At 42.9% G+C, this 10,075-nt stretch overlaps 1 pseudogene; it reads right to left on the bottom strand.

The window, feature by feature from the left end:
- Nucleotides 765-1,777, bottom strand: RPL5P10 (ribosomal protein L5 pseudogene 10; annotated as a pseudogene).

Here is a 10,075-nt window from a genome sequence, read left to right on the forward strand (position 1 = left end):
TCTCCTGGGACCAGAGGCTGCAAGCCCTACACTACCTCTCTCAGTATAAAGCCACAGGTTAAAGTTTGTGCAGCTGATGTCTCAAAATAGGCCCCCAGCTTCATGCCTAAAGCACAGTTTCATGAGAGCATGAATTGAGTCACACTTGTGCAAGTGAGCGTTACAGTCACATTGTTGGTGCAGACCAAAGGTCCCTCCCTACCCACTGCTCTACAATGCTCAGCCACTGGCCTCCTCTTCCCTTGGGCCCCTCAGCATGGTCTTCAGCAGCTGGGGGAGGGGCCAGCCTTGCATCTTCCTTTGAAGAACAATGGGGTCCTGGAGTTCAGGGGTCAGTATCATCACTGCCTCATAGTCTTTGAGGGGCAGACTTGCCCATTGGGAGGCAGATCCTCAGGTGATGGCTGTCTCAATACCTGGCTTTTTGCTGACTTTTGTCCTTCCCTTCCCCTCCTGCAGCATCATTTCACCCTCTATTACCAACATTCACAGAAGCCTTTACGATTCAGCCCCACCCGCTTAAGCTTTAGTTCTGAACAACAGAAGAGAAACGAGGAGAAGAGGTATCCATTTCTAGTCTGACTGCCATGAACTCCCTGGGAGACCCTGGGGAGTCCCATCCACCATCTGCGCTTGTCCTTGTCTTCACAATCTGGGGTGGATTTGAGGTTTGCTCAACTCCCTTCCAAGTCAAAGAGTTTGTAGTAGGGGTCAGGAAACAATTGCCTGGAGAAGTCTGCTTTTCTTTCCTTCTTTTTCTCTTTTAGCAGCTTAGTCAATAAATTTATTGTCTTTATCTGAAAAATTCTCATAGAAAATTTCTTGGTTTAGCTCTCAGCAGCCTGTTCTCAAGCTCTGATGAAGCTTGCCTTCTTTTGAGCTACCCAGTGTTTCTTCTGGGCAAGAGACGTTTTGGGACAATTCCACTTTTTCTCTTTAGCTTCTTTCTTGGGCTTCTTTTCATAACCTGGATTCTCTCATATAGCAACGTGGGCTTTCTTACACATCTCCTCCATCATGTATGGAGTTATGCTGTTCTTTATGTATTGAGAAAACTGTTTCTTGTAAGATCTTCAGCTTCTTCCATTAGGTAATGCATGTAATCTGCAACATTCTGACCCATGATGTGCTTCCTATGTACTTCTGCATTAGATGCCTTGCTTTCAGAATCATAAGCAGGGAATCTGTTATTGTGTACTGTGAGAGATGGAGAGGCCTCCATTCACAGCCCCCTTCAGAGCCCCCAAAACTTTATTACTAGTGGTGGTTCTGGCAAGGCCTGCCTTCAAATAGCAGGTAAAATCACCCAGCTGACCATCAATGTTTTCCACGTTGTGTTCATCTCTGGTCACCTCCACTTGGCCTTCATAAATCTTGACCATGCCAGACTTACTGAGAAGCCTGCAGGCCAGCAGCAAGCCAGTACAATATGCTGTAGCATAATGTGTCAGGCCAACCTTCACACCATATTTTGGCAGTTCATATGCTTAAGCTGTGCAGACTATCATATCCCCTCCTATACAGGCATAAGCAATCTGACAAATGATATCTCTGTTTGTCACCAAACTATCATCCTGTATTTGGGTGTGTTGTACTTATTTTTATACAGTATCACCAAGCGTTTCCAAGTATAATCTTCAGTTTTTACGCTTCTATCATTTTCTGAATTTCACTTGGTTTCTCTTAAAGCAGGCCTTGTTTTTGACAACTTTAGCAAACCCCTCCTGTAGAACAGAGACCCATGTTCACAGCTCAACATACCTACAGGCCTCAGAGGTCTGCTTTTCTAAATAAAGTTTTATTGGAACCCAGCCACACTCATTCGTTTACAAATCAGGTCTGTGGCTGCTTTTGCACTACAATGCAGAATTGAGTAGTTACCACAGAGACCATGTACCTGCATAGCCTAAGATATTTACTACCTGGCCCTTTACAGGAAAAGTTTGCCAACATCTGGTCTATGGCTTCAATTTTATTTTATCTTTCATAGGGTGAGGCAGACTTGTCCTCAGAGCCACAGGAATTTTATTTTGTGGAACAAGATCTTGGTGACTTGAATACAACTGAGGAGGCTCTTCCAGGATCCAAGCCATAGAGCAGGTGAAGGAATCTGTATTAGCTTGGGCTGCCTTATAAAATTCATCGACTGGATGGCTTAAACAACTGACATTTATTTCTCACAACTATGGAGGCCAAAAGCCCATGATCAAGGTACTGGCAAGGTAGGTTTCATCCTGTGGCCTTTTCTCTTGGCTTGTAGTGGACACCATCTTGCTGTGTCCTTCCTCACATGGCCTCTTCTTTGTGCATGCAGAGAGAGAGAGAGAGAGAGAGACAGAGAGAAAGAGAGAGAGAGAGAGAACACAAGCCAGCATGTGAGCTGTTGGTGTCTTTCCTTATAAGAACACTAATCCTATTGGATCGGGGTCCCTTCCTTGTGACCCCACCTTGCCTTAATTACTTCCTTATGGGCTCTGTCTCCAAATATAATCACATTGAGGGATTAGGACTTTAACATATGAATTTTGGGGGAACACAATTTAACTCATAATAGAACTCTAATCTTTTTCTCAGGAGACTTTCTAATTATGCTGACCTGACAGATGGAAAACTATAGCAATGGAGGTCAGAGGTTTGCTCTGTGTCTTCCTGAGAGGAAGACTTATGAGAAAGTGATGCATTGAGGAAGCGCTCCTTGGGAGATTGGTAAGGGAGTCGAGGCAGGGCGGGGGGAGAGATAGAGTGAAGTCCTGCAGGGGTAGCTTCCTCCTGATCCTTCAGGGGAGCTCTGAAGTGTGAGTTACATCTTGGAATCTGACGCACCTGCATCTGTCAATCACTGGCCTGGGGCTGCCTTGCGGGGATGTTGGCTCCCAGGCATTTCCAATCTCTGCAGGTGTGGGCAAACTAGCTCTAGCCACCTGAGGGCAGTCCTCTAACAGGAGTTGCAGGTGTAGGCAGCAGAAACAAGATCCCACAGAGGCCAGGAGAGCAACACACAGCAACTGTAAAAGGACTTAGTGGGTGTCTGGGTAGAGTGTTGACTGTGTTGCCACATCCCACAAAGAAAAGTCAATAATAAAGGGTATATCGAAGACTGTCTAGGCTTATTCCGATAAAACAAAATTTGGCACATCTGTGGGAAGGTTCTGTGTTTGAAAGTTGTCTGAAGAAGGGACTAGACCTTTTGTATTCTTGCATTCCCAAACCTGGCACACAGTAGGTGCTCAGTTAGGCTTGAAGACTTCTGGTAGAGTGGGTGACTGGATGCCTGCAGGGGGCTGGAGTGATGGATAGCACGCTGGGGTCAGGTTTTAGAGAGCTAGCCTCTGTCCTGGGCTTCTCCTCACAGCTTGGGAATCCACTCTGGTCCTGACAGTCTAGGAATGGGGGAAGTTTGGCCATTTGACTCCAGCAAAGGACTTTTCTGTGTTTGGATCTCAAAGACTTTCCTCTCAACACAGGGGAGTAGCCTTTCGGTGGAGGACAGTGGAGTGGGTGGGAACAGATGGTTTGCATGTAGCACAGGTGGAATTTTATTTCTACCTTGATTTTATACACATCTTAGAACAAATTGAATGGTGGTGGCTGATTTCATGCATTTTTATGAGTTTTGTCACATCGCCTAAACTTTTTTTTTCCTTTGGGAGAATTGACCTGAAAAATTATTAGAAATAATGAGAGTTCAGTAAGGTAGCAAGTTACAAAATAAACGTACAAAAATCAATAGCTTTCCTATTTCCAACAGTAGCCACTTAGAAAAAAATAATGGAAAAGAAAGATCTCATTCACAATAGAAACAAAAGATATTTATCACCTTGCAGCAAACTTGTAGGAGACGACACATGTACTGCACTTCCTCCCTCTGTCCCAGGCATCCTTCTCTGGTGGGAGGGAGAGAATTGTTATGGCTACAGCTTGGATTCCTGGCCCCTGCCCCTCAGACCTTTGCCATAGGAGGATTGGGGGCCAGTGTTTCCCTGGCTCCCTTGGCAGGAGGTTTCTGCCTCTTCTGAGGCATATTGAAGATATGAGCTCTGGGCAGCTACCAAGAGCCCTCTGAGCATGCTGGTAGCCCACTGTGGTTACTGCAGGTGGTTACCCTAGCTTAGAGCAGTGACTGGGTCACAGGACATTAAATGGAGCAGGAAGCTATAAAGGTGATGCTGGTTTCCTGGAGTACCCACTGACTCTGGAAAGCTTCAGGGTTGGCTGCTTCTACCAGTCTAGGGGGTCTCAATGATGATCAAGCTGGCTGTGATCAGTGTGGGTGCAGGGCACAAAAGATATTGGTGGAGGTTTTTCCTGTACCACGATGGTGTCATATCTGGGATGGGAGTAGATTTAGGAAGCAATCCATGGATATTTTATCCCAGAAACATTCTAGGGTTAAATAGGACGACCTCTCATTGAGTGGAAGTTTTACATATATTAATATTAATCAGGATGCTTTTCCTTTGAAAATGGCAGAAAGCCTAGTTTAGTCATCCAAGTCCTACAAAAAAAACCCCAAACAATACAAAGCAAACATATCCCATCCATTCCTCCTTGATGCTGTGCACACCAGTTTGGCTGCTGACTGCCAGCCCCTGCAACTCTGCCTGAGGAGTCTGCTTTGTCCGTTCTCACAGTGGGTCCAAAAATGAAGCCCTGGGAAGAGCCTGACATATGGATAGGTAGGAGAGGGAGATGAATACCCCAGCTCCTTTGCCTCTTGGATGGCGTGGCTCTGAGATGTGTCCTCCACAAGGTCTCCCAGAGTTCCCGAGAGGGACTGAGCCTAAGTTGCCTTTTACTAATTAATTAATATTTATTTATTTATTTATTTATTTATTTAGAGACAGAGTCTTGATCTGTCACCCAGGCTGGAGCACAATGGTGCTATCTCAGCTCACTGCAACCTCCACCTGCTGAGTTCAAGCAATTCCCCTGCCTCGGCCTCCCGAGTAGCTGGGATTACAGGTGCCCGCCACCACCCCCAGTTAATCTTTGTATTTTTAGAAGAGATGGGGTTTTACCATGTTGGCCAGGCTGGTCTCGAACTCCTGGCCTCAAGTAATCGTCTGCCTCAGCCTCCCAAAGTGCTGGGATTACAGGCGTGAGCCACTGCGCCTGGCCCCAAGTTGCTCTTTAGGAGTTACTTGCTCAATGATGCACCCTTTACTGGCTGCCTTCTCTTGCCCTCACTTTCTAATTACCTTACTGGTGTTTTCTAATATTACTTCTCAAATAAACTCTTTGCCTATCAATCCTTATTTCAGGATCTTTCTTTGTGGTGGAGCAGGGGCTCAACTGAGAGAGAGAGAGGGAGAAAGAGAGAGGGAGAGAGGGAGAGAGAGAGCGAGAGAGCGAGAGAGCGAGCATGAGAGCAAAAGCAAAAGTACATATAATTGGAGTCCAGGCATAGCTTTGGCTTCAGGTAGGACTGGACCCAGAGGACTCAAGCAATATCTTTAGGATGATCAGGTCTTCCCATCACTTGATTGTGCTTTCTTCTCAGGTGGACTCTGTCAACCCAGTGGATCTCAGCAGTTCCAGGCTTAAAGTCTTCAAACTAAACTACCCTAGCAGAAAGAGGAGAACTTGTTTTTGTCCTAGGATATCTTAAAATTGCAAACCACTGGACTGACTTGCACGCCTCTAAGCCCATCATCGAGGCCAGGTGGATGGAATACTTTGTGTACTAGTAGTCAGGTTTTTCTAGAGGGACAAAACTATTTTATATATATATATGAGTTTATTAAGTACTAACTCACACGATCACGAGGTCCCACAATAGGCCATGTGCAAGCTGAAGAGCAAGGAGAGCCAGGTCGAGTCCCAGAACTGAAGAACTTGGAGTCTGATGTTCAAGGGCAGGAAGCATCCAGCAAGGGAAAAAGATGTAGGCTGGGAGGCTAGCCCAGTCTTGCCTTTTCACGTTTTTCTGCCTGCTTTATATTCTAGCTGTGCTGGCAGCTGATTAGATGGTGCCCACCCAGATTAAGGGTGGGTCTGCCTTTCCCAGCCCACTGACTCGAATGTTAATCTCCTTTGGCAACACCTGCACAGATACACCCAGGATCAATACTTTACATACTTCAGTCCGATCAAGTTGACACTCAGTATTAACCATCACACTCTGATTGGCCAGTCCTGATTCATGTGACTATGGATCCCTTTTATGTCCTCCTCTGTACACTCCCATTCCACTTTTCCCACACACTCTAGTGGTATACAATGGAGAGAAATCAGAAGCAGGGATGAAGGTCCTGTGTTTTGGAAGTAGATAAAGACAGACACACGTCTGCATGCATGTGCTGATGTCTAATTGTGTAGAATCTGATCACTTGCTAACTATCAAACAATATTGGTGAAATATTCAAAGAATCTGTGTGTAAGCTAGACCACTCTTTTTTTTCAATGTTATGAGAGAAATAGAAAACAAATATCCCAGCTGAAGTCCTGCATCTTACTTCTTTTCATATGAGTGATTTCTGTAGAAGAGACCAATCTTTGGCAAGAAAAACAGAAGGTGAGAGAAAAACTAGTATCTAGAGAGTTCCTAGCTGTATGTCAGTCATTGTCTTAGCACTGTATGGTTGTGACTTCATTTGACATGAAATCTATAGTGCTCATTTTATAGGTGGCCACACTGAAGCTGGATGATGTTAAGTCAGGTGCTGAAGAAGGCTCAGAGCCTGGACTGTTTGACCCCTCAGCCATGGTATTTTCACTATTCGAGATGTCTTCTCTCAGAGAACGGTACTGGGAGAGGGAAGTCTGCTCTGCTCATTCTGTGAATGAAATAAACCCTCTTCCCGCTAGTCTAAGTACTATGATGTTAGAAAGGAGGCATTTTAAACAAATGGAGCTTCCAGTCATACATGGTGTAAGAATTAGAAGCACTCCATCAGCACTTGTGAAATCACAAAGAGCTTAATTAAAAAAAAAGTAATTTGCTCATATCCCGGCTGGAGAAGCCTGTCTATGTAGTCCACAAAGCAAACAAAAGAAAAAAAATACAGATTACCTCCCTGAAGGCAGGACTTTGCTTGAAAGTGTTATGATTTTGTCCCCTGAGCCTAGTACAGTGCCTGACACATTATGAGTGCTCAGTATATATTTGGTGAGTGAATAAAAAAATTGCATACACATTAATAGTTTTTTTAAAACAATACTACTTTCTAAATATCTTTCCATGACAATGAATAAATCATTTCATGATGGTTGGAATGGTTAAATTTATTTAACATTTTATTGGATTAACTATTTTTGCTTGTTTGACATATTTAACTATTAAATTCCCTCTTTTTGGATTGGTAGGCAGTTCATATTTTTGAGGATAGTAAACAATGCTATGAATGAACATCGTTACACTTAAGCTTTTACAAATTTTTCAAATAATTTATCTAGGGTATATACAGAAAAGAACTGCTTAGTTAAATGGCATGCATGTTTTAAGCCTTGTTTTGGAAATACACAGGCAAATACATATCCATGTATAATAAGGAAAAATGTGATTTATTTTGAAAATTAAATTATCACAGTCTTCAGCTAAACCTAACAGTCATATCTTAGCACATTTAGCAGTCTAAAGTGAATTAGTTAATTTTTATGGCTTATTGTTTGAGGTAAGTGGGCCACTAGATAAGATTTGAAAACTGTTGCTTGCTTTTTATTTCCACCATACTGTTCTGTGAGTCTTTGGGAAATCTCTGGAGAGTCTGAGTATCTTGTCTTTGGGTCTGCAATGCCATGTCTCATGTAGCTTATATCCTGTTTTGCCTCCTCTCCACCCCCAGAACCTCATTAGTATCTCTCACACAGAGGATTCAGATTCCAAAAATATTTGTGGAATTAAGTGTTGGCAAGAGAGTGAGAAACCCAGACTTGCGCACACTGCTGGTGGGAGTATTTAATTGGTACAGCCACTTTGAAGGCAATTTGGCAGTGTCTATTAAAATGTAAAATGTGCGTACCCTGTGATTCAGCAATTACACTTCTCCGTGTCTTCTCAAGAGAAACTTTTGCTCATGTACAGATGTGCACTCAGCACGGATCATAATAGTGAAAACCTGGAAAGAATCTAAATGTCTATCAATAGGGAAATGATTGAAACAAATTTGAAAAGATTCTACGCTGTACATTAGTAGTTAAGGAGAATGAAGTAGACCAGAGACAATATATTCGGGTCCTGAAGGCCAGATCCAGGCCAGCAAAAATATTTTATTCACTTTACATAGTATTCCCCTCCACCCCTCCTTGCCATATATTTTATAACTATTTTAGCAAAGTCTATTCTTGTTATTTGGGGTAGTTATGCTTTATAAAGTCACTGCATACACTGAATCAGGGGAAATACAGGATTAGATTCTTGTGAACCTCTGGTCACATTTTACTAATCAGTCAATACATTACCTTGTTTAATGTGTGTTTTTGTTTAAAGACACCTTATTTAGTATATATTGTTGAGTTGTTAACAATGAACTCACAGCCAACAGGACTATAATTCATACCTGAACAAAGCCTCTCTAATACACAGAAGGCACATCACAGCCTCCTTGCTCTTAGGAACATGAGACAGCACTTCAACACTATGCTGGGGGGCCGTTTGTTTTTTGTTTTTGTTTTTTTTTTCCCTTAGATGAAGTCTTGCTCTGTTGCCCAGGCTGGAGTGTAGTGGCGCGATCTCGGCTCACTGCAAACTCTGCCTCCTGGGTTCAAGTGATTCTCCTGCCTCAGCCTTCTGATCAGCTGGGATTACAGATGGCTACCACCACGCCTGGCTAATATTTTTTGTATTTTTAGTAGAGACAGGGTTTCGCCATGTTGGCCAGACTGGTCTCGAACTCCTGACTTCAGGTCATCCACCCGCCTGGGCCTCCCAAAGTGCTGGGATTACAGGCCCTGGCCAGGGGCCGTTTTAAACAGGAAAATCACCAACAAAAAGCACCAAGATGGAAACATATGGCATTAAATACACCACAAAAAGGACACTTGTTTACATTTATGTGAGCTGAAAAAAGAAGGCAGAGCGTTCCCCTTGTTCATTCTGGGCTGGTAACATGCACATTGGGCAACTCAAATATTTTGCTGTTTTGCGCATGTCCACAAATGACATGAAAACACCGGGAATATTGATTTTGAGGTGACAAATAAACTTTAGCAAGTAGGCAAATTTGCAAATACAGAGTCATAAATAATGAGTATTGACTGTATATATTTCTGAAATATAAGGACTCTTTTATAAACATCTCAAGTACCATAATTACTCCTAGATTCCTTAGTCTTTTTTCTTCATCTTTGTGTATAAACTGGAGATTCCTTAATATTATTGAATATCCAAAGTGCACATTTTCCCAGTGTCTCACTAAAAATCATTATGAATTCATGGATTTAAGCATACTTGGTAAATTTTAATTCATGATAATGATGATGATTATGAATTTTATTTATTATTATTTTTAAACTTTTATTTTAGGTTTGAGGATACATGCTCAGGTTTGCTATATAGGTAAATTTTATGTTACAAGGGTTTGATATACAGATTATTCTGTACAATCTGTGCTTCTCAAAGAATGGGGGGAATCACCTGAAAAATAGTCACATGGTCTCCCAAACTTGCAGTGAAATTAATGAGGGACTGATGGGCATGACTCCCCAAATTTGGATGATATGGTTTGGCTTTTTGTCCCCACCCAAATCTCATCCCGAATTGTAATTCCCACATGTCAAGGGAGGGAGGTGACTGGATCGTGGGGGTGGTATCCCCCATGCTGTTCTCATGATAGTGAGTGAGTTCTTAGGGGATCTGGTGCTTTTGTAAGTGTTTGGAAGTTCCTCCTTCATTCTTTTCTCTCCTGCTGCCTTGTGAAGAAGGTGCTTGCTTCCCCTTCACCTTCTGCCATGATTGTAAGTTTTCTGAGGTCTCCCCAGCCATATGGAACGGTGAGTCAATTAAATCTCTTTCCTTTATAAATTACCCAGTCATGGGCATTTCTTTATAGCCGTGTGAAAACAGACTAATACATTGGGTCTGAATCCCCAGATTCCAACATTAAAAGTCCACTGGAGAGAGGTGGTGCAGTGAATG

The sequence above is a fragment of the Homo sapiens genome, chromosome 3 (assembly GCF_000001405.40).
Source record: "Homo sapiens chromosome 3, GRCh38.p14 Primary Assembly".
Classification (NCBI taxonomy): Eukaryota; Metazoa; Chordata; class Mammalia; order Primates; family Hominidae; genus Homo; species Homo sapiens.